Raw genomic sequence first — 26,079 nt, forward strand, 5'->3', positions numbered from 1 at the left:
AATCCTTGTCAATCAGCGGCAGCAACAACAAAGCAGATTTACTGAAAATGAGAATTTGTCCAGATGCATTTTAACATCCACAAGGTCTTCCAAAACTGAAGTGAAAATGAAGGGATCTCTGGCACCAACGGCAGAGAAATCCTTCTGGAATAGAACAACCATCCTTCTGTTGCAGCTGTAAGTGAAAGCGAGCCTCACATAACATCATGCCTAGGCTTTGGAGTGTTCCTCAGTGAATTAGTCAGTAGTGTGTTTAGAATGCAGCCCAGAAAAATCAAACTTCAGTTTTACCGTGTAATATAGAGAGGCTCTTGCTTCAAAACTGTATATGGAAGATTTTTCCTCCATAACTCTAGCCCCAACCCTAACTCTGGCAAGTATTTGCAATAAAGAGAACTAGGAAGAAAGAAGACTGTGAAAACTGAGCTTATTGGTTACTGGCCCTTCAATATTACAAACAGAACTTTGTGAGGTCATTACCGTGTATTCATCCACAAAACAGGATGCATTAGCATTATCTCAGCTCCTTCCCCAGCAGACTAACATAAAAGAAAACTAAACATGCTTATGCTACAGCACTACAAATATTTCTCTACTGGCTCCCATTTTCTACAGGGATAAATTGACTTCAGTTAGTCATTATGGTCAGTATGCTATATAGTATGGCCTCTTTGAAGATTCTTTTATCCTGTGAAAAGCAGGAAGAAACCCTACACACAATGATTTTATACATTACTGCATGAACACAGCGTTTTAACCATGAGGAATAATGCACTTTAAGATTCATCAGCCTTGTATTAGTAAACTTTCAGGCTGGCTGAGAACTTTACATGGATTCTCTCCTGAACCCAAGAGCTGTCCCTCAGATGAATCCTGGTCCGTGGTGCATTCCCTCAGTGGTAGGTTTTATTGTGAGTCTGGCTCTCCTCTTTGATAGGTCCTGTGTCTCCTGGAAAGCCCCTGCTCCGATACCCCACATCCCACCCACCCAGCCCTGTCCTATATTTCCATACCCACTTGCACATTCTGGATCTGGATTCTCCCATTTTTAGAAGAGTCATACAAATGGCGTCATCACAGCAGAGGAATGGCGTAGTCCTTGAATGGCAGCATAGGGCCCCTGCTGAAAATAGTGATGGTATCGCGGCATGTGGAATGAAGGGAATGTGGGGCCACTCCCTTGCATGGAGCTGGCAATGGCCGATGGTGTCAGAGGCATTCCCAGTCGGCTATATGGTGGCAGAGAACCCTGGATGGGGTGAGGAATGGGTGTTGCTATGGATGCTGTGCTGGTGCCAAGAGCAGTCAGGGACTGTGGGTGCTGAAACCCAGGAAAACTGGAAGAAGATGATACCCAGGAGCTGAGAGACAAATTATCAGATGTTGTAAAGGCTGACCCTGTAAGGAAAAACACTCATTAGACTGGAAACACTGTGTCAATGTACAGATCAAGAATTAAATTATCTGTAAAGATCAATTTGTGTTTAAGAATATTTAATACGTCTGTAATTTAGAAAGACAAACACATATGAGATCTGTCACGAGGCAAATCTACTTTTCTAGGTAAGAAGATGATATTTACACCTTGCATGGAATAGAGAATTTACTAAATGGAAAAAGACAACTCATTGGATAGCCTGTACACTCCCACAGACTGGCCAAAACATTAATACCCTGCCTGCAGGTAATGACCTGATTCTCTTAAAAAAAGCTGCAAATACCTGATATCTGTTCTGACCTCTGTAGTGTCCTAAGGAAGGCTGAATGTAAGAAATATCTACCAAGCTGTCTGGTTTCCAAAACTGTTGTGAGAACCTAAGAAAGTAAGTTTTCCCACCACAGCATCCAGAAATTTAGAATAGAGTTGACAATGAATTTTCTGACTGTATACAGTTGTCCCTTGAACAACAGGGGTTAGAACAGCACGGGTCCACTTACATGCAGATATTTTTCACTACAATTTACACTGAGTAGGCCTGACCCCTCTTGCCTCACTTTCACCTCCTCCACCTCTTCAGCCTCTACAACCTCCGAGACAGCAAGACCAACCCCTCCTCTTCCTCATCTGCCAACTCAGTGTGAAGATGAGGATGAAGACCTTTATGATGATCCACTTCCACTTAAGGAATAGTAAATATATTTCCTTTCTATGATTTTCTTAATAACTTTTTCTCTAGCTTGATTATTAGAATACAGAATGTAATACATGTAACATACAGAATATGTGTGAATTGACTGTTTATGTTACAGGTAAGGCTTCTGATCAACAGTAGGCTATTAGCAGTTAAGTTTTAGGAAGTGAAAAGTTATATGCACGTTTTGGACCACACAGGAGTTGGTTCCCCAACCACTGTGTTGTTCAAGAGTCAACTGTAATACTAGTGGTTCACTTGGACTGAGTAATAAGAAATGTCCTATGTTTTCACAGATTATATAATTTCATATTAAGGACATAAAACAATGCAGAGGACTCTCTCCCCATACGAACTTTACTGTTCCCAGAATGGAGCCCCTCTGGGCTCTTTTCTCTGGACTCTCTTCCCAGATGCAGAGGGCTGCTCTCTAAGCCTTGGGAACAGAGAAACTTTGTTCAGTTCCTGCTGTCAACACTGGGGCCACTTCCTCTATGTAATATCCTTCATTAGGACAATCCTCTTTTAAAAGTGTTTTCTATTTTGGTCTTTGATTCTAACAAATTATACCTGACATAGATGGAACAGATATATTCCCTGACTTTCAGATTATGAAACTGAGGTTCAGAAGGACTTGGTGACTGCCCCCAAAGTTCAACAGCTCTTATGTACTAAGTCATGGACAAGTAACTCCTGATCCCTGACTCAAAGGCTCAGTATTCTTTCACTTAAAAAAAAAACAAACCATAGGAAACCTGCAGGCAGCATCATCGCCTATGATTCAAAGGCAAAATAATGAAATCTGTGAGGATCAGTGTCGGGGCTCTCCCTTCCCAAGGAGGCTCCTGAAATCCTTTCCCGGCATCGTGTACTCTGAGGACTGGCCATCTCATCAACGACCTGCCCCCATTCTCCTTTAGGTGCTCTGCCTCCCAGCAATTCCATGGCCTTGGAAACTACCTTACCTCGATTTGGGGTTGTCTGACTCTCATCCCCCAAGACATCTTCTTCTCCTCCGTAGGTACGGATGGGTGAGCGTGCATAGGAATGCTTTTGAATCAGGCTCTCCACACTTTCCCTAGGTTAGAGTGACATATCACAGGTTAAGTAAAATGTAAAGGACTCAGAGATACAGAGAGGTCTTAGAGGTAACTCACTAATCAGTAAAACCATTTTCTCAGCCAAAAAGCAACCACTGCACAGAAAGATGAAATTCAAAACATGTACATTTATTCTGTTGTACAGTGACTCCTCAGAGACATGACCTCAGGTGTATGACTGCAAGCAAACATGACTGACTAGGACAAGGACAATCCCCTGAAATACTTTAAAATGAAGGACAAAGGGGTGAACAGGAGCTATGAAACCTGACCACAAGAATATGAAATTCCATGATGTGAAAAATAATGAGTGAATGAATTTACTGCAAGGAGCTGCAATGACTCTTCTTACTGACTTCATCAGCTAACAAATACAAAACAAATACTCAGTTGATACAAATTGCACTGATCCAACAACCAATGAAATGTTGGCAAAAAGTTCAAATTATCATTAGTCAGCGAAAGACTCTAATATTCACCAAGAAATCAAACAAATTCATAGATTATAGTACAATATAGATAGTTTGGGTAATGAACACTAAGATCCTTGTTGCTGTAAGACTGAAAATTACAAAAAACCCATGAAGAAAACACAAATGACCAATAAGGAGTTTTAGCCTCTAGGTAAATTGGTACATTGTCTTGTAGATGGTCTTCCTCCTGTAACATAGTCTATCAACCAAACAGTGAGGTTAACTTTAAAAAATAAAAAAAAAATTTGGCATTGGACAATTTGACCTTCTGCTTTTAAAAAAAAAAAAGCCAGTACAATTTTAGCCAATTTGTTCGCCAAAAGTGCATACTGATAACAGATTAGTCTGCATGGCACACATTTCTGGAACAGCTGTGGCCCAAAGACCAATGCCAAATTGACCAGCAAAGGACAAAAGAAGACTTATAAAATATGTGTTAAATGAGGAAGGACAACCAAACACCACATTTCATATTGAGGGAATAAGCAAAGCAAATAAAATGTCATAATAACTTTTTAAAATGTTAACACTTGTCAACATTTCACATAAATATGCAAACTTTACCTGTGAAAAATTACTACCTAATTCATAGTAAATTTGGTGTTGTAGAAAGCTTATATACCCACATAGATGAAGGCATTTTATAATATATAGTATGACTATGACTATGAGGACTTAAGGATATGCCTAAAAGGAAAATTAACTCTGCAACTATTTAAGTTACATCTCTATTCTCAAATTATTTTAGAGTAAGAATAAAGTACCACCTCTTATAGTCAAAATAATTAGGATCCAGATCCACTGCATTAACACATAGGTGTCAAAAAGAATGAGGTCATTCCATATGTATAGATATGGAATAATTTTCAAGATATAGTAAGTGAAAAAAGTAAAATACAGAATGTTATGTAAAGTATGCTACCATTTGTGAAGTTAGAACACAGGATATGTATGTTCATATATGCCTGCATGTGCACAGGATTTCTAGAATGTTCCAGTTTCCAGAACAAGAAACTGCCTAGAAGAGGTTGCCTCTGCAGGGTGAAATCAGGGACTTGAAGGATTAGAGTAGTGATTCTCAAATTTGTGTGTATGTTTGAATCAACTAGGGATCTTGAAACAAACAAACTATATTGAGATATGATTAAAATACAAAAAGTGGCACACATTTAAAGTGTATGGGGCCGGAGCCGGGGCCGGTGGCTCACACCTGTAATCCCAGCACTTGGGGAGGCCCAGGCGGGTGGATCACCCAAGGTCAGGAGTTCAAGACAAGCCTGGCCAACATGGCAAAACCCTGTCTCTATTAAAAATACAAAAATCAGCCAGGCATGGTGGTGGGCACCTATAAACCCAGCTACTCAGGAAGCTAAGGCAGGAGAATTGCTTGAACCTGAAGGCAGAGGCTGCAGTGAGCCGAGATCGTGCCACTTCACTCCAGCCTAGACAAAAGAGTGAAACTCCATCTTAAAAAAATAAAAATAGAAATAAAGTGTATAGTTTGATCAGTTTGGGCATATGTACGCACCACTGACACCACTGCCACAAGCACAATAACAAAAATATCTAACACCTACAAAAGCTAGCTTCCTCAAGCTCCTATGCTCCATGGTCCCCATCGCAACAAACCTTTCCAAGGAAACCACTAATATAATTTCTGTTCTTGCAGATTAGTCTGCATTTTCTAAACTTTTACAAAGATGAAATCTTAGCTAATATATTCTTTTTTATCTGGCTTATTTCACTCAGCATATTTTAAGATTTATCATGTTGGGGCATACATTAATATTTCTTGTACTGAGTAGCATTATATTGCATGGATATATTATGGTTTATTCACTTATTGATGGATATTTGACTTGTTTCTAGTTTTTGAATGTTAAAATGAAGCTGCTACACATATTCATGCATACTTTTTAACAAATGGACATATACTTTTATTTATCTTGGAAAGACATCTAAGGATGAAATGACTAAATTGCATATATGTGCAATTTTTAAAGAAACTGCCAAACTATTTGTCAAAGTAGTCATACAATTTAGCATTCCCACCATCAGTGTATGAGAACTCCAGGTCCTCTATACTCTCACTGATGCCTGATATGGTCAATGTTTAATTTTAGCTATTGTAATATGCATGTGCTGGTATTCCATCATACTTTTAATTGTGTTCCCCTAATGACTACAATGTTGAACATCTTTTTCTGTGCTTATTTGCTTCCATATTTCTAGCTGTTAATAATCTGTTTAAAAAATTAGGTTATTTGTTTTCTGAGTTTTGAGATTTCTTTTTATATTCTGGGCACTGGTGTTTATAGAATATATGATTTGCAAATATTTTCTTCTAGGCTGTGGCTTGCGTTTTCTCTTTCCTAAACAGTTTCTTTTCAAAAGCAGAGTTTTTAATTTTGATGAAGTGCAATTTATCCATTTGTAATTCTATGGATCACGCTTTTGGTGCCATATTTTAAGATCTTTGCCTAGCCCAAGACCACAAAAGTTTTCTCCTAGTTTTTTTCTGTAAGTGTTATAGTGTGAGGTTTTATGTTTGTGTCTATGATTCATCTTGAGTTAATTTTATATATGAATGAGTTATGAATTGTTTATTTTTGTGCTTATGAATATCCCATTATTTCAACATTACTTGTTGAGAAGACTGTCCCTTCTCCATCACATACATGTGGGTCTACTCTTGGACTCTTTATTCTATTGATGTGTTCGTGGAACTTGACACCAAAACTATACTGTCTTGATTATTGTAGCTGAATAAAAGTGTTAGAACTTTTGACATTAGGTAGTATTAGTACTCTATCTTTTTTTTCAAAGTTGTTTTGGCTATTCTAGTTCTTTGCATTTCCATATGAAATTTAATATTACTTTGTCAATCTCTACAAAAAAGACTCCTGTGATTTTGGTCAGGATTATTTTAGATCTACATATCAATTTGTGCATAACTGATATCTTAATATTGCATCCTTCAAATCATGAACCAGTACATCCTTCTGTTTCATTAGGTCTTCTTTAATTTCTCTCAACAATGTTTTTGTAGTTTTAAGTATATATGTCTTGCATATCCTTTCCAGATTTTCCCTACTTCGTATTATAGTAAATATTGCTTTTTAACTTCAATTTCTGATATTCATTTATAATAGATAGAAATACAATTTATTTTGTATATTGATCTTGTATTCTGTGAACTTGCCAAACACTTATTTGTTCTAGTGGGTTTTGGAGATTTGGGTTTTCTGTATAGATATTCACGATGCCTGTACACAAAGATAGTTTTACTTCTGTCTTTTCAATCACAATGACTTTGATTTTTCCTGACTTATTGCAATGGCTAAAACTACCTGTACAATGTTGAATTAGCAGTGGTAAGAATGGGCCAGGCACAGTGGTTCACGCCTGTAATCCCAGCACTTTGAGAGGCTAAGGTGGGCGGATCACCTGAGGTCGGGAGTTCAAGACCAGCCTGACCAACATGGAGAAACCCCGTCTCTACTAAAAATACAAAATCAGCTGGGCATGATGGCCCATGCCTGTAATCCCCGCTACTCGGGATGCTGAGGCAGGAGAATCACTTGAACCCAGAAGCTGGAGGTTGCAGTGAGCCAAGATTGAGCCATTGCACTCCAGCCTGGGCAACAAGAGCGAAACTCCGTCTCAAAAAAAAAAAAAAAAAAAAAAAAAAAAAAAAAAAAAAAAGAACAGACATCAATAACTTGTTCTTTATCTTACAGAAAGCATTCAATTTTTCACCATTAGATATAATATTCATTCTAGGTTTTTTGTACATACAATTTACTAGACTAAAGGTTCTCTTCTATTCCTAGTTTGCTGAGAGTTTTCAAGAATAGAGGTTGAATTTTGCTAAATGCTTTTTCTGTGTCTGTTGAGACAATCATATAGTTTTGTTTTTAGTTTGTCAGCATGGTCATTACATCCATTGAATTTCAAATGTTAAATCGACCTTGCAGTCCTGAACTAGGCCCTAGTTATTTATGACATATTATCGTTTTTTTAATTCAATTTCCTAAAATTCTGTTTAGAATTTTTCCATGTATATTCATGAAGAATATTGGTCTTTCTCTAGTTTTAGTATCAAGATAAGGCTAGTCTCATAGAATTAGTTAAAACTCTTCCCTCCTCTTCAATTTTCTAGAAGATTTCAGGTAGAATTGTCATTATTTCTTCCTTAAATGTTTGGTATCTTTCACCAGTGAAACCATCTGGACCTAGAGTTTTCTTTATAAAAGTTTTTTAACTACAAATTCAAAACTATCAGAGTATCTGTTTTCTCTTGAATGAGCTTTGGTAGATTCTGTCTACAAGAAATTTGTCCATTTTGTTTAAATTGTTAACATTTTAATTGTAAGTATTCATAATATTCCTTTATTATCTTTCCTTTTAATACCTGTAGAATCTGTAGTGATATTATTCCTTTCATTCTTGATTATGGTAATTTATATTTTCTTCCCTTATTTTCTTGGTCAGTTTGGCCACCAAATGGTCAATTTTATTAATCTCTACTTTTTGTTCATTGATTTTTCTCTACTTCTTCCCTGTTTTCTACTCCATCAATTTCTACTCTGATATTTATTATTTTCTTTCTTCTACTTGCTTTGGGTCTCATTCACTATTGTCCTAGTTTCTTGAGATGGAAGATGAGGTTATTGATTTGGGACCTTTCATTTCTAAAGCAGAGATGTAGCACTATAAATTTTCTGGAAGTAATGTTTTAGCAGAATCCTGCAAGTTTTTATATGTTGTATTTTCATTTTTATTCAGTTCAAAATATTTTCTAATTTCCCTCTTGATGTCTTCCTTCCCCCAAGGGTTGTTTAGACATGTGTTATTTGACTTTCAAATATTTGGGGACTTTTGAGATATCTTCCTGTTATTTTCTCTAATATAATTCCATTACGGTCAGAGAGCCCACTTTGTATGACTTGAATGCCCTTAAATTTATTGAGACTTCTTTTGCGTAGTGTATACTTGCAAAGAAGGCATATTCTGCTAATTTTAGATAATATTTTCTTTTTTTTTTTTTTTTTTGAGACGGAGTCTCACTCTGTCGCCCAGGCTGGAGTGCAGTGGCGCAATCTCAGCTCACTGCAAGCTCTGCCTCCCGGGTTCAAGTGATTCTCGTGCCTCAGCCTCCCAAGTTGCTGGGACTACAGGTGCCCACCACCACGCCTGGCTAATTTTTTTGTATTTTTAGTAGAGACCGGGTTTCACCATTTTAGCCAGGATGGTCTCGATCTCCTGACCTCATGATCCACCTGCCTCAGCCTCCCAAAGTGCTGGGATTACAGGTGTGAGCCACCGTGCCTGGCCTAATTTTAGATAATATTTTCTAAACATCAATTGGGTCAAGTTAGTTGATACTGTTGTTCAAATCTTCTGGGTCTTTACTCATTTTCTGTCTACTTGCTCTATCAATTATTAAGAAAGGGATATTAAAATTTCCAACCATTATTGTATATTTGTCTGTTTTTTTATACTTCTATCAGACATAAAGATGTAGGACTGTATATTACCCTTGAAGAATGGAGCTCTTTATTAGTATGAAATTATCTACTTTATCCCTAGTAAAATTCTTTTCTCTGAAATCTACTTTGATATTAATACAACTCTTAAGTTTTTCAAAATTATTGTTAACATGCTACTTTTTTTCATTGCTTTACTTTCAACTTATGTCTTTACATAGAAAGCACATTTCTTGTAGGCAACATATAATCAGGTCTTACTTTTTAATTCAAACTGACAATCTCTGCTTTTTGAGATGTGTAGTGCATTTATATTTAATGAGATTATTGATATAGTTAAGTTGAAGTCTGGCTATTTGTTTTCTATTTGTCCCATCTGTTCTTTTTTATCTCTTTCCTCTTTTTTGCTTTCTTTTGGGTTTTCTTTAAATGATTTCATTTCATGTTCTTTGTTGGTTTATTAGATATAACTTTCTTTTGTTATTTTAGTAAATGACTTAGGATTTATAGTAAATATCTTTAAGTTGTCACAATCTACCTTCAAGTGATACTAAATCTTTCAAGTTAGTATAAGCCCTCAAAATAATATATTTTCATTTCTCCCTTCCAGCCATTGTGCCATTCTTGTCAAACATTTTATTTTTATATAAACTCCATTCTAATTATTATTATATTTGTTTAAAAGGTTAACTATCTTCTTAAAATATTTAAATAATAAAAAATTAATCTACTTATCCATGTAGTTCTTATTCCTGTGCTCTTCATGCCTTTGTTTACATCCAGATTGACATCTGGTATAATTTTCTTTCTGGTTGAGGGATTTCCTTTAAAACATCTGTACTGCAGTTTCCTGGTGGTGAATTCTTCGCCTTTTGTATGTCTGAAAAAGTCTTTATTTTGCTTTTGTTTTTTTGAAAGATATTTTTGCTGGGTAAATAATTCTAGTTAACAGACTTGATTTCTCTTTCAGTACAGATGATCCCCAACTTGCAATGGTTCAACTTACAAATTTTCAGCTTTACAATGGTGCAAAAGCAGTAGGCATTCAATACAGTCCTCAGCTTATGATGGTGTTATATCTGGACTTAGACACTTTTGACTTATGATATTTTCAATTTATGATGGGTTTATCCAACCATAACCCCATTGTTAGTCAAAGAGCACCTGTACTTTAAAGATGTTGCTTCACTGTCTCCTAATTTACTTTGTTTCTAATGAGAAATCTGTACTCATCCTTATCTTTGTTCCTCTTATGTAATACGTCTATCATTCTCTGGCTGTTTTAATATTTTCTTTATATCACTAGTTTTGTGCAATTTGACTATAACATAATTTGGTATTATTTCTTCATGCTTTTTGAGCTTGGGTTTGTTGGGCTTCTTTGGATTGTGTTTACAATTGTCATTAAATTTGAAAAATTTTTAGATATTATTTCTTTGGGTATATTTTTTGTCCCACCTCCCAACCACCTTTAGGGCCTCCAATTACACAGATATTAGGCCACTTGAAATTTTCCCACAACTGACACTCTTTCAATTTTTAAAAATTTATCTTTGTTCCTCGTGTTTCATTTTGGGTAGTTTCTATCACTATATCTTCAAGTTCACTAATCTTTTCATCTGCAGTGTCTATCTGCCACTAATCCCATCCAGTATATTTTTCATTTTATACATTGCAGTTTTCATCTTTAGAATTGTGACTTTGATTTTTGGTAAATCTTCTACATCTCTCCTTAATTTCTGGAATGTATGGAATACAATCATACTAAGTGTCTGAATGTCCTTGTTATTAATTAGAATATCTATGTGAGTTCTGAATTAGTTTCAACTGATTATCTCTTCACTATGGGTCATGTTTTTCTGCATCTTTGCATTCCTGGTAATCTTTAATTAGATACTAGGCATTGTGAATTTTGTCAGGTGCTGAATATGTTTGTATTCTATTTATAAGGACATAAATATAAGACATGTCTTGAGGTTTCTTTTGGGATATAGTTAAGTTACCTGGAAATAATTTGATCCTTTGGGAGTTTGCTTTCAAGATATTTTAAGTAGGACTGGAACACTATTTAGTTGAGGGCTAATTCTTCCTCACTACTGAAGCAAAACCCTTCTGAATAGTCTACCAAATGCCTTCTAAATCACAAGGTTTTCCAGTCCAGCTGATTACATCAGGCATTATCCCTGGGTGACCACAAGTTACTGTTTGTTTCCCCCTAATCTTTTCAGATACTCTTCCCTGCAGCCTCTGGTAGTTTCATCGTATGGATTCCCTTAGCAAATCTCAGCTGAACACTCAAAAGGGATCCTCTATAAATCTTTGGAGTTCTTTAGGGATCCTCTGTAGATCTTTGAGTGCTTTTTCCATGCAGCTTTCACCTTTTCTATTGTCTGTCCTATGAATTCTCACTGTTTTGGTCTCTGCAAACTCAGCTCTGACCTCTCAACTCAGGGAGTCTGGTGGGCTCTGCCTGTATTCTCCCCCACTGCCATGGTCTATACCCCCTCAGGAAATAAGCTGCATCATCACAGGGCTCACCTCATTTGTTTCCCATCCCTCAGAGATTATTGTCTTTTGTTGCCTGATATCCAGTGTCATAAAAAACATTGTTTTGCATATTTTGTATGTTTCTTAGTTGTTTCAGGAAATAGGGTATATTTGGCCCTTGTGGCTTTACCTTTACTAAAAGCAATGTCTCTCCAGGGGAACTTCTAAAAATTCCAAAGCTGACACCACACTCCCATACCAATTAAATCACAATCTTTGGGAGTGGGAGACAGGCTTCAGTAATTGTTAACATTCCCCCCTGGTGATTCCAATGAGCAGGCAAGTTTAGAAATGGAAGATAGGTGTGTGGATGGATACTTTTCACCATATACTCCTGTATAACTTTTGAATTTTGGATGTATGTATTATTTATTTAAAATTAATTTCACATTACAAAATGAGACTATGATAACCCATCAATGAACAAAAACAAAAGAACTGCTGGTCTAACATTGGTACTTTGGGAACCCATTATAATGAGTTGGTTAAAAAATATAATTATGCTGATTTATCAATGTAATTTATGTATGGTAAGCAGTGCAATATATTGGAAATATCATGGGCTTTAATGTCACTTATCAAATGCATGAATGAATAGATGAGTAGGTGATCATCTACAACCATTTTCACATTCTGACTTTGTTACTTTCTTAACCTCTCTTCATTTGTACACTGGGGAGCCTAACATCTGCCTCACAGGGCCACTCATTCATTGACAAAGAAGTATTGAGTCACTACTATGAACAAGGAATTGCAGAGATAGCAAAAAAAAAAAAAAAAAAAAAAAATTCCCTGTCTAATGAGTGATGAGGGTAAAGGGAAGACTGGGAGTTGGGGTGAAAAGTGGGGGAGAGAATAAGAAAAACATGTAGTATGTTAGATGTTGATAATAGTGCTATGGAAAATAAAAATAAAACAGAGAATAACAATAAGAAGTATTACTATAAGGATTAAATGAGAAAATGCATTTGAATTCCCTAAAATAGTGTCTGGCACATAGAAGATGGTAAATATAAGTGCCTTTAAAAGTATATCTAAAACAGGTAAAAATATTTTATCCTCTTAGATTATATTTTTTCCAATTTATTCTGCCTGTCTGTATAATCCTAATTCAGAATAATGTGGTCCAAACAGGATTTTTCTCAGTGACTGAATGCTAAAGTCGGTGGAGAAATTGACTAGAATATTACTTGCAGTTCTATTATAAAACTATATCTGACATCAAAGAGAAATGTTAAGCTCTAGTGAGTCCATTATCACTTGTTTAAAAGTGTAACCTATTTTTAAATATCCCTTGAACAGACTTATTGAATCCCATGAGTTAGGCTTGTTGAAATGAAAACATTTTATCATTCACTGAGAGGTACTGGTGAATATATTCAAAGCAAAAGTTAATGGGGAGGATAATCTGGCATAACACGGACCCTAATTAATTTACCAGCTGCCATATATTTTAATCTTTATATACAAACACCTGATAATGTTGAACCCCAGCAGCCTAAACAGCTGATGTTATTTACTCAAAGGCTTAATTTACTACAATATTAGAGAGTGACCATCTTTTGAGGTCATTAAGAAGAAAGTCAAGTGAGCTGAGCAACCGCTAATAAAACAACAACTATAACATACATTCAAGCTGATGTCCTTTAAGTCTGAAGCATAAGTCATATTAACAAAATTTTACATGAACGTAGGAAAGAATTAGGTGGTTATTTTCACATGCAAAAGAACTTGTTTCAATATCTTGGAAGATATTTTTTGTACATTTATAAAGGATTTGCTGTCCATGGGCCCAAATTCTGGATGGTGTTTTTCTAAGGTGTATTCCTCTTCCCACAAATTGCACATAACTGCTAAATTCATGCACTTAATTTGTTTTTTAAAAAAAGAGTGTAATAGTTACATCTCTAAAAAGCCCACTTAATAAGATCATTTAAATATCTTTCACATAACACACACAAGACAAATAATTTCCCAAGTAACACAGTGAAACATTTTGCTTTTCTGAAAGAACATTATATTCATTTTGCCCTTGCTAGATCACTGGTATCATTACTTACGCTAGTCTCTAGGAGGGGAAAAGAGGGATTTTATTGAAGTGATTTACTTGTGTTAGGCCTGGAAGTGAACTGAAAGCAATGGCAGTTCTTATATAAAGGATGGCATAATTGAATTATTGCCTAAGTGATTGAAAACAGTGGTGCATATCAGGGCCATCTCTTCGAAGATGTTACAAAGAGTAGTCAGGCCATGATGTTTACTTTATGTCTAATCCCTGTTTCCAGCAGAACGAGAAGTGCAAAGAATCTGTTTAGCCTGGAAGCCCACTGTGAGAATTTCTAAAATACTGTACCCTGAAAAATGAGAATGGCTCACCGAACAGGTCAAGTGATTTAGGTATCACAAGCTAAGACACTATCTTGTAATGCTAATTCTGTCACATCCCAATGCAACAGACTGTAGTTTTAGTAGACTTAACTTTGGATTTAATAAGGTAGATAAAGTGGGTACTCTTATTGAAGGTCAGTCTTTCTAACATCTAATGCTAAATATTTTTTCTAGGCAAAAAAAAGGGCATCATTACCTTCTTTGATCTTTAAAACATCTCCTCTGACTACTTTGTAACCATCAATTTCAGAAATGGTACACACGTCAGAGACACAATCACGGCCAGAAAATGGGCAAAACAGAGGATCACTACAATGATTATCCTGCTCTGCCAAAACATTCAGAACCATTTGAAGTCATTTGGACTACTTATTCAACCTCTAGACAAGCAAAACCTGCACTCTTATCAGTACTGAAACTGGTTGCCCTTCCTCTAGCTTTGAAACTAAAGTGCAAATTTCTCAATGCTCAAAAAGCAAAACTTTCCCTTCCCCTCACATTCTCCTTTGCAACACCATTGTTCCTAATACAATCCTCCTTTACTGCAATTACTAGATTGATGGCAATTATACGTTTTCAGGTCTGTCTCCACTACTACGCTGCTGGCCCTTGACTGAAAGTAATACTACTACTTTCTTGATCTAGGCAGGGGTTCTCAGACTTTAGTGTTCACCAGAAGCACCTGGAGGGCTCATCAAAGGACAGATTGCCAAGCACCATCCTAGAGTTTCTGTCTCAGTAGGTCTGGGGTGTGGCCTGAGAAGGTGTTGCTCAATATGTTCCAGGTGCTGCTGATGCTGCTGAGAATCACTGCCCTAGTGAAGTGGTTAGGGGCATGTTTGCTGGAGCAAGTCTGCATATCTTGAACCCTGCCCAGCTACTTGCCAGCTGTGTGCTCACGGGCAAATTACTCCACTTTTTCATGCCTCCCTTTTCTCATCTGTAAAATAAGGATATCAATATGATAAAGCTCTTAGAGTTATTAAGATTAAGTGAATTAATACACAGAGAGCTTAATTGGTACCTGACACATAAGTGCTCAATAAATGTTTATAGATAACAAAATTAAATTATCTTTATTGTTATTATTGAGCATTGAGATTATGTGTTCCAGAAGGTGCTTACATGATGATAATCATTTTAGATGAAACTGAGACTACCAGTCTCTATAACTTGCCATGCTTTGTTTAAACCTTCCTTCCTTATACATGCCAGAGAAGAAATTAATATTAAATGTTATTTCAATTTACATTCTCATTTTCTCTCCTAAATATAGACCTGGCAAAACTGTGTTCAAAGAGAAAATGTCAAATCCATGAAAATCAAATATAATTTATAAAAAACAAAATATATAATGTTGTTTTTGCTCATTAATTTGTTCATTTTTACATCACATCTTACTGAGTCTTTGTAAATAACTCCTTGTCACAATATTTTTCTAAAGATTGATACAGATATATTATAAATTACTGGAAGACAATGTATCAATATTCGTAACTTCCACGAAATATTTAATAAATGAAAACTTTAGATAATACAATTTAGGAGGTATTATAAATCATTAATTTTAATTTGAGAACTGAAATATACAATCCATTTTGGAAAAACAAAATGACTCTAACTTAATCTTTTAAAAAGCTTTTAGGCTTTAGTTTATTTTTAATTATTTGACTTAATCTTACTGATTTTTCTTTTCAGTAATATACATTTCTGGTTTTGTATTATCATTAGAAACTTAAATAAGTAAACTGTACCACTGAAAAAACCCAAAAACTATTATGCTTAGTTTTCTAAGTTGTATGGCTGTGACAACCATATAAAAAATTCTGACAAAGTACAGATTACTCAGCTTAGAAATAAACATCAGTAAACTGTGAGGCAGGCAACAAATATTCTTCATACACAGATAGAAGGAAAGACACAGCAAGAAAAGAAGGATAATTTACAACCGTAAGTTAATTGTGAATAACTCTACTCCATCAGACTCACTGGTCCGGCACTTCCAGTTCATACGGTTTTATAAAATAAATGCTTCCTCTAAAAAGCTGTGGATAAATGAGTAGCATTTTAAGTGCAGAAACACATCTTGCTAACTAAATATTTTGTGGTGACCCCTTCTATAATTTGAAAAAAATTAGTTCTGTTAAACGCCATTCCTTCTTTCTTACTGTTGTTGTCAATAGATTTTGATTTTATTAAATTAACATACTTTATTTAAAAGCAGACTTTTTTTTTTGAGATGGAGTTTTGTTCTTGTTGCCCAGGCTGGAGTGCAATGGAACGATCTTGGCTCACTGCAACCACCACCTCCCTGGTTCAAGTGATTGTCCTGCCTCAGCCTCCCGAGTAGCTGGGATTACAGGCATGCACCACCACGCCTGGTTAATTTTGTATTTTTAGTAGAGACGGGGTTTCTCCATGTTGGTCAGGCTGGTCTCAAAATCCTGAGCTCAGGTGATCCGCCCACCTTGGCCTCCCAAAGTGCTGGAATTACAGGCGTGAGCCATTGCGCCCGGCCCAAAAGCAGACTTTAATCTGTCTACCAAGCAAATCTGCTTCCATTTTATGCATGCAGACTTTTATACTAAGTCTATCTTTGCAAAAGATTTAAAGAAAATTATTTCTTTCCCAAGAAGCTGTGCATTCAGATTCTTTATCTATATCTGGGCTTTGGTATCTTCCATAAAGTAAAGAACTTCTATAAAACAAAGACGTGGTGGAATGGATTAGACAATCTTGAAGATTTACTATGGTTTTAATGATTTATAAATCTGTAAATATATAAACAAAAGTAAAAATTTTAAAACAACTGTTTTGAAAAATCCCAGTACTAGTTGCAAAAAACCCTGAGTTCTAGCCCCAGGTCTTCTACTATTCGTGTGGCACTGGGCAAGTCACTTGAGCTCCTGGGGCCCCAACTGCTGTGTGATTATAATGACAAAGATAAACTAGGTAACTCCTAAATTTCACTCTAACTTCAAAATACATACTTCTTAGAAAACCAATTAATTATATTCTGGAAGTTTAAAATCAAAATACCAGGGTACACTTTAGTATATAATTTTAAAATATGTTTTTACTATTTTTTTAATATGTGAGAAAGAATAAAGCACATACTAATAATTAAAGTTATTTCCATTTTTACAGGATTATAATATTATAATATGTTGCTCTATATTCCAGAAATAAAATTCAATTTACACTCCTTGATTTCTGTCTCTTTGTTCTGACATCTGCTATAGTCTGAACATTTATGTCCCCTAAAGATTCACGTGTTGAAACCTAATCACCAATGTGACAATATTGAGAGGTCAGGACTTTGGGAGATGACTAGGATGAGAGGGTGGAGCCCTCATGAATGAGACTAGTGCCCTTATGAAAGAGCCTGAGGAAGCTTACTTGCCCTTTCCACCAAGAAGGCACCATTTATGAAGCAGAGTGCATGTCCTCACCAGATGCTAAACCTGCCAGTACCTTGCTTTTGGACTTTCCAGCCTCCAGAGTTGTAAGAAATAAATGTTGTTTATAAGCTACCTTGTTTATGGTCTTTTGTTATAACAGCCCAGTTGAACTAAGATACATCTAAGCACCACTGTATTCCTGGATCCTATCCCTCCAAGCAGAGGTGATGCAGCTGTCCTCCTCTATCTCAGAAGCCTAGTCTGCTCTGTGACTCCTCTTACAGAATGTGGGTCTCAAGGGGAACACTGTGGGTCAGTGGGAGCAGGGGGCAGAAAACTTTTTTCTGTAAAGGGCCATATAGTAAATATCTTAAGTTTTACAGGTCATATGGTCTCTGTCACATATACTCAACACTGTCATTGTAACACAAAAACAGCCACATACAATACTTAACAACAACAAAAAAACAGACCGTGTTCCAATAAAACTGTATTGGTAAGCAATAAAATTTACTTTCATATTATTTTCACATGTCAGGAAATATTACTTTAAAATTTTTTCCAACCATTTAAAGAGGTAAAAAACCATTCTTAGCTTTAGGCTGTACCCAGCAGGTGCCAGGCTGCAGTTTGCCAACCCCTGCTTTAGGCTATTTACCTGATTAGATGTGTGCCCCACTGACCCTGCACTGCTCCTAAGGAAACACGCTTTGAAAACTCTACAACCCAGCCTAGAGCTGTGTTAGAACCAAACACCACTTTCTTTCCAGCACCATAAATTATTATGAAAGATCCAGGAATTATTCACAACCATGAACTTCTTTAGCAACTCTGCCAAAACATTTACTTCTTCATTATGTTGATGTAGATAAAACTTCCACAAATTCCCAGAATATTAGATTTGCAACTTGCTTTCCTAAAGTCTCCTTCCTCACCTAAACTAATAGAGTACACTTGAGCTCTGAGCAAAAAGGGCCAAATCCCACTGGGCTTATGTCCAAACTTCATGTGTTTGAAAGTTTTATTCAGTGCAAGTGGTTTTAAAGTCACTTTTATAGAGACTCTTAGCATGAATTTTGGACCAATAGGGTGATATAAGCCTTTATATTTAATTCCCTGACCTACTAATATGAACAAGAAAACAAGAGAAACTCAAGAAATGAGGGAGGGTGCCAACTATATATTAAAATATTTCAGCCACAGACAGGTAAGGAGTAAGGGCAGCACCAGCCGGCATGCCATCCATCAGCACATAAGGAAGAAAGATACCCGGGGTGGAAATAAACAAGGCTTCTGTTGGAACTTCATCAAAACCCCAACTTGGAGCAAATGGGGTTAAAGATGAAAGCAGATCTTTGAGCAGTTCTTTGGGGAACAGGTTGCCACACAGCTGGAGTCTAGGAGGAAGGAATCCCACGGCAGCCCTCCCAGCCAGCACATGGTGTATTTGGCACACTGAACAGTGTGGGCCATCACCATGGCCAGCTCTGGAGGAGGGCATAAGGCTGCTGTGCTAGGTGAGGGAACCAGCACTGCCCCAGCTGGTTTCTAGCTGCTGAGACAGAGAGGGTAGCCACATCAATGCCAGGTCAACACTCCTTTTTCAGAAACTACTTCCTTATCTATCTGCGACAACTCTCTAACTTAAACAGAATTTCCACATTGGTAAAATGGCAATAAATGCATTGCCCCTTCTTCAATCTATACCTGGAAGATCTAACAAACAGCTTCAGGCTTTTACTCAGGATCAATTTCAGCTCCTAATATTAAACAGACATTCTATTCTACAGATGAGCTAAAGAAAAATAACTGGACATTACAAAATATTCAACAGTTCAAAAGAAGAAAAGTTATTAACAGAGCAGAACAAATGACTTCTTCTGAAGCAGACTTATTGCAAGAAACAGAAGGACACATTTTAAAATCTCTAATTTGTGCTTTTAAAATTTTAGTAAGATTTAAGAAGACCCTGTATTAATAAAATAGGGACTAGTAGCCATGAAAAGGAAACAATCTGAGCATGTAAAATTACACTTACAAATAACACAACAGAAATTCTCACATTTTAAAGGAACTCAGTAAAGACAGAAGCCAGAATATTAGATGCTGCAGAAAACAGAATCAGCAAATTAGAAGATATAAGATGTTCTCCCAAAATTCAGAGTAAAAATCTAAAGAGAGAAGATAAATGGGGAATAGATTAAGGAGATGCAACATATGTTTACATTAACTTTAAGAAGATAATTTCTAAAAAATGATAAGAAAGACCAATGAATAAAATTCTAAGTCCAAGATTATTTAAGCAAAAATTATTCGTTGAGGGAGGAGAAGTACAAAAAAAAATCTCTATTTCCTATTATATAGGACAACAAAATATACACTTTCGGTCTGGCAAAAAAAAAAAAAAACAAATATCAAAAGAAAAAGAAAGGAAGAAAATTTTCCTGAGCTCAATTAAGACTTGAATTTTCAATTGTAAAGGCTCAATTATATTTAAATACTAATAAAAACACTACAACTGAACAGAGATACAATTTCTGAATTTCAAAGATTGAGAAAACTTTCTAGAAACATTTTGTCCAGACAGAGAAGAAACAAGTAAGTTTCCAACAAAGAAAGACAATGGGTTTGGCATTAGCTTTTATTCCACAATACTTCAAAACTAGATGACAATACTTAAAAGGAAGGTTAAAAGAGTTCTAAGCAAAAGGACTGTGACTCTAGTCATGTTCATACATAACGGCAATGGAGCCTCTCAGTTATGCAAGAACTCATAAAGAAGATGACCCACTTATATCCTTCCTCAACCAATTACTCAATGTTTACCAACAACTGACAATAAAGTCAGAACACAATTCCAATAATTGAAGAGAGTACAGAAGAAATGAGCAGTAAACAGTGAATATGCCTGCAATTAAATTAAAAATAATTGTGGCCAATCTATCACAATCCTGATGTTCGTTAAGAAAATAATTTAAGAAAGATGATAAGAAAGACCAAGGGCTAAAAATCTGATTTTAAGTCCCAGATTATTTAAACAAAAATTACTGGCTGAGGGAGGAGTAGTATCCTATTTTATAGGATAACAAAATATATACTTTAATTCTTGGCAAAAAATTGAGAAATATCAATGTTACAATGATGTCCTACTGGAATTTAAAGGCAATAATTATTAAAAAGAAATATAATGAAGATTAGAGAAAAGATTTTGGTTTCAGATGAACTAAACTGGGTTTAAGGTTCAGCTATCACAAATCATGTGAATTTGGATAAATTATTAGTATCTCGAAGCTTTCATGATCTCATCTACAAAATAAGAATAAGTTTCTTTGTTATATGATTATTTTGAAATAAAAAATACATATATAGCCCATTGTCTGACACATGGCACATGTGGAGTGTTGGCCATTATTGTTAATAATAAAGGGAAAAAACTTGATAAATATAACAAAAGACAGAAAAAGATTAAAAACTAAAGCCAATAGCTATATTGAACAGAAAGCAGAAATGGTTCAAAGAAGCACCACCAAACATATCAGTTATCATAATGCTTGAAGCTGGGTTAAGTTTTTCTGTTGAAAAATAAAGACCCTTAGATAAGACTTTAAAAATGCAGCTATTCTGTATGCTGTTTTTATAAAGACACATCATTCACTCACTCAACAAATATTTGGGTGCTCACTGTGTGCCAGACACTATTCTGGGATCTGAGGATATGGTCAGGAAACAAAACACAAAGGCTTTGACCATTGTGCAGTGCAGCACAATCCAGCAGGAAGGTTAAAGACCCTCAGGCTGGGACAGCCCTCGCCATGTTCAAGAAATGTAATCAGGTCTGTGTGGTGAAGCCAGCAAGCAGAGGAGAGTTCAGAGAGGCAACTGGGTCAGGTGGGGTAGATTCTACAGAACCTTTGAGGCCTTGTCTGGACTTTGGATTGTACCCTAAATTAGAAGGTGAGGAATTGGAGGGCTCTGAGTATGAGCAATGTGATCAAACTTCCTTTCTTTGGAAAGATTATTCTGATTGCTGTATTGAATAAAAATAAGGCCAATATTGAATGAAGGCCAATAAGAGTGGAGGCAGAGAGATCAGTTAGAAAATTAATGTAATAATCTAGGAAAGAAAGGACAGTGGCCTAGGTAAGAGTGGTAGCAGTGAAGACAGTAAGTAGTTGGACTCCTCTGGACTAGAAGGATTAGTTGACAAGATGAGTTAATGTTTGGATGTGTAAAATATGAGAAAAAGAAGAGTCAAAGATGACTACAAGTTTTTCGGCCAGAACACTGGGAAGGATGCGGTTATGAGCAGCTATGATGGGAACAGTAAGGGAAGAGTAGGTGTGGAGGAGTGTGGTTAGGCAGCCAGTTACAGGTGTGTGAATTCTGAGGTGCTCTTAGGGGGACAGGGAAAATTAAAAGCAATAGCCAGTCAGATATTTGAATCTGGAGAGGCCAGAACCAGAAATGTAGGTTCAATAGTCATCAGCTTTGGTCCTTAAAGGCATAAAACCGAGACAGGGCACCCAGAGACCAGATGTAGACTGAGAAGAGAAGTGCAAGGACTAAGGTCTGGAACACATGGTGTTTACAGATGAATGAGATGAGGAGGAGCCAATGAAGGACACACAGAAAGCATGGTAAATGAAGTGGAATAAAAAACAGAAGACTGAGTGGTCTGGGAAGCCCAGAAAGGAAAGAGGGCAGAATGAATGACTGTGCCAAGGGCTGCTGACAGGCCAAGGAAGATGAGGTCTGAGAACTGACCACTGGGTTTAGCAATGAGGAGGTCACTGGTGACTTTGACAAGGGTGGACTAGAGGGTAGTGGGGATGAATGTCTCAGAGGCAGAGTAGAAGACAGAAAGGAAGGAAAGAAATGGGAAAAGAGAACATACAAAAGTTTTTCTGAGGAACTTTAAGAAGGAGCAGAGAACTGGGAAAGTCAGTAATTCAAAAGACAAATGGGGTCAAGAAAGGGTTGTTTTCTTCTTAATGAAAATGACAGGATATTGATGAGAGAGAGAATATTGCTGTAGTCCTATGGATTTTTAAAAATTAAAGGGTAAACAAAAGAAAGCAAAAATTTAAAAAGGGTAGCCGTATAAGATTAAAGTAGAACTTGAGACAAAAACAATTACATGGGACAGACATTAACATATATTTGACCAACAAACAATGGAACAGACTAAAAAAGTTGTTAAAGTGGTATTCCCCAAAAGAATACTGCACCCAGGTGAATTTATGGACAAGATTGATAAAATCTTCAGGTAAATGATCATTTCTTTGCTTTTCAAACTGATTCTAACAATAAAAGGAAGGAAAAGATTTCAATTAATTTGAACAAATTAGCAGAAACCAATACCAGCAACTGACAAGAGAAGGTACAAAACCAACTAATTGTTTCAAGATTGATACAAAAGGTCTTAAATAAAATATAAGTAGTTTAAATCCAGTAATTTAAGAAAAACAAATAAAATCCAGGCAGGAGGGCTGGGCGCAGTGGCTCAAGCCTGTTAATCCCAGCACTTTGGGAGGCCGAGGCAGGCGGATGACCTGAGGTCAGGAGTTCAAGACCAGACTGACCAACATGGAGAAACTCTGTCTCTACTAAAAATACAAAATTAGCTGGACGTGGTGGCACATGCCTGTAATCCCAGCTACTAGGGAGGCTGAGGCAGGAGAATAGCTTGAACCTGGGAGGTGGAGGTTGCAGTGAGCTGAGATCGCGCCACTGCACTCCAGACTGGGCCATAAGAGCGAAACTCTGTTTCCAAAAAAAAAAAATTCCAGGCAGGAATATAAGGATGGTTCAACAGAGACAATATGACTATATTATAATGTCATTTAAAATTTTTAAAAAAGGAAATAATATCAATAGATGTTAAAAGAGCATTTACTATAAATTCAATTAATGTTAAGATAAAAATTATTAATTTAGGTATGAAAGTTATTGCTTTGGTATAATAAAGAATATTCTTCTGAAACCAACAGCCACCAAAAACCATATGCAATGAATCAAGAACAAGAGAAAAATACCAACTATTATTATCCTTCAATGGTGTCCCAGAAATTTCAATCAGTGTAATAAAACAAGAAAAAGATATTTTTAAAAGTATAACTACTAGAAAGGAAGAGATAAAATCATCATTTTTGCAAATGATATAGCAATTTAACTAGAAAACACAAGAGACTAAAATGAAAATTTATTAAAACTGATTTTTTAAGTTCAGTAAAATGGCACAATGCCAGAGACACAGGAATCAACAGCTTTTTGCAGACTAAATTAGGCAGATTTCTAATTTAAAATTCTCTTTACAAAAGTAAGCATCTCCAAAAATCTCTCTAGTGTTTTCCAATAAAAATGTAATGTGAGTCACATATGTAATTTTAGATACGCCCAGTTGCCACATTAAAAAAAATACAAAAATATACTTTATGTAACATAATAACCCAAATTATTATTTCAATATATCTAATTGATATTTTTTAAATGATTTTTTTCATACTGAGTCTTCAAATTCTAGTGGTTTTTGGTAGTTAGTTAACCTGTTTGTGTGTTTGCACACTAAACAGTATTATTTCACATCTTCACTAACCACCTGTGGCCAGCAGCTATTGTATCAGACAGAGCAGCTCTCATAGGCCTAGATGTGTGCCTAAGAACATCTGTGCAGAACGTACAAACTCGAAAATGGCAAAGTGCTACATAACACAGGAGATTTCAGAAAGAGGACAAACATATTACATATTCATAGATGAGAATAGGAATATGTGTCTTTGAATACTGATATCACTGTAAAGATATCGATTTTCCCTCCCAGGTTATTATATAAATTCAACACGAGCCTAAGCTAAATTCCTGTAACATTTATGTAGAAGACCTGACAAAAAGATTTCAAAGACTGGAAGCATAAAGATCAAAGAATATCAAGAAACTTTTAAAATGACAAGTAAAAACGATTGGGATTTGCCATATCAGATATTTAAATATCAAATATTTACAATTTATGAAAATTACAACCATATGATACTGGCAGCTCAACAAAGAGACTGTAAGAACTAGTATGCATAAGAATTTGGTACAGCATGTGACAAAGGGAGAATGAAAAATAAGTGGGAAATGAATACATTAGTAAATACATATTAATAGTATTCAGGCCACTTGTAAAAAATATAAAGTTGTATGTCTATTTTATAATGTTTACCAAAATAAATACTACACAAGTCAAAGGTTTAAATGAAAAACTAAAAAGCAGTAAGATGATTAAAAAATCTATAGTAAATGTTTGTATTATTTTGGAGTGAGAAAAGTTTTCTAGGATAGAAATCAAAGAACGAGAGCAACAGATTTGGTGATAAAACCATCTATGTATCAAAAGCATAAATAAAAAGCTAATTTTCAAACTGGTAAAATGATTCCAACATATATGAACAATAAAATACTAATACTCTTGATACATAAGTAGCTTTTACAGCTCATTTAGAGAACAAGGTGAACAATCCAAAAAAAAAAAAAAAAACCTAAGGACATAAACAGGCCAATTCCCAGGAGAAAATACAAATGTTCACCTACGAAACTGGCAAAGATGAAAAGACAACGATCATGTCGGACAAAGATGTAAAGGAATGGTAACTGCTGTGAACAACCTTTCCTGAAGGAAACTTGGCAGTATGCATAAAATGCCTTAAAAACATATACAGTCATGTGCCACATCACAATGTTTCAGCCCACAACGTTTCACATATATGAAAGTGGTCCCCTAACATCAGAACGGAGCTGAAAAATGTCTATCACCTAGTGACATCATAGCCATCATAATGCAGCAACACAACATGTTACTCACGTTTGTATAAAATACATCATACTTGATTAATGATAATAAACAATGATGTTACTGGTTTGTATACGTACTATGCTATAATTTTTATAATTATTTCACGGTGTACTCCTTCTACTTATCAAAAAAAAAAAGTTAACCGTGAAACAGCCTCAGGCAGATCCTTTGGCAGGTATTCCAGAAGAAGGCATTATCATTACAGGAGATGTGTGTTATTGCCCCTGAAGACCTTCAGTGACAGAAGATGTGGAGGTGGGAGACAGTGATATTGATTATCCTGACCCAGGGTAGGCCTGATGTGTGTGATTATGTCTTAGGTTTTAACAAAAATGTTTAAAAAGTAAAAAAAAAAAAAAAATTGAAAAAAATTGAAAAAACTTACGGAATAAGGATATAAAGAAAAAATGTTTTTGTACAGTTGTACAATGTGTATGTTTTAATCTAAATGTTACAGGAGAGTCAAAAAGTTAAAAAAATTAAAAAGTTTAGAAAGTAAAACTGTTATAATAAGCTAAGGTTAATTTATTCTTAAAGAAAAATATTCTTCATAAATTTAGTGTAGCCTAAGTGTACAGTGTTTATAAAGTCTACAGTAGTGTACAGTAATGTCCTAGGCCTTCATATTCACTGACCGCTCACCCAGAGCAAATTCCAGACCTTAAGCTCCATTCACGGTGAGTGCCTTATACAGGTGTACCATTTTTTTTGTTTT

At 35.7% G+C, this 26,079-nt stretch overlaps 1 protein-coding gene across 2 annotated transcripts in view; it reads right to left on the reverse strand.

Moving 5' to 3' along the window:
* TBX20 (T-box transcription factor 20) overlaps positions 1,058 to 26,079 on the reverse strand; it is a 51,671-nt gene continuing 26,649 nt past the window's right edge. For both annotated transcript variants that reach the window (NM_001077653.2, XM_017012456.2), the window contains 2 exons: positions 3,098 to 3,210; positions 1,058 to 1,398 (listed from right to left, as the gene is read on the reverse strand). In NM_001077653.2, the coding sequence (NP_001071121.1) occupies positions 1,058 to 1,398; positions 3,098 to 3,210 (454 nt within the window). The remainder of the gene's footprint in view (positions 1,399 to 3,097; positions 3,211 to 26,079) is intronic.

Source organism: Homo sapiens, chromosome 7 (genome assembly GCF_000001405.40).
Source record: "Homo sapiens chromosome 7, GRCh38.p14 Primary Assembly".
NCBI lineage: Eukaryota > Metazoa > Chordata > Mammalia > Primates > Hominidae > Homo > Homo sapiens.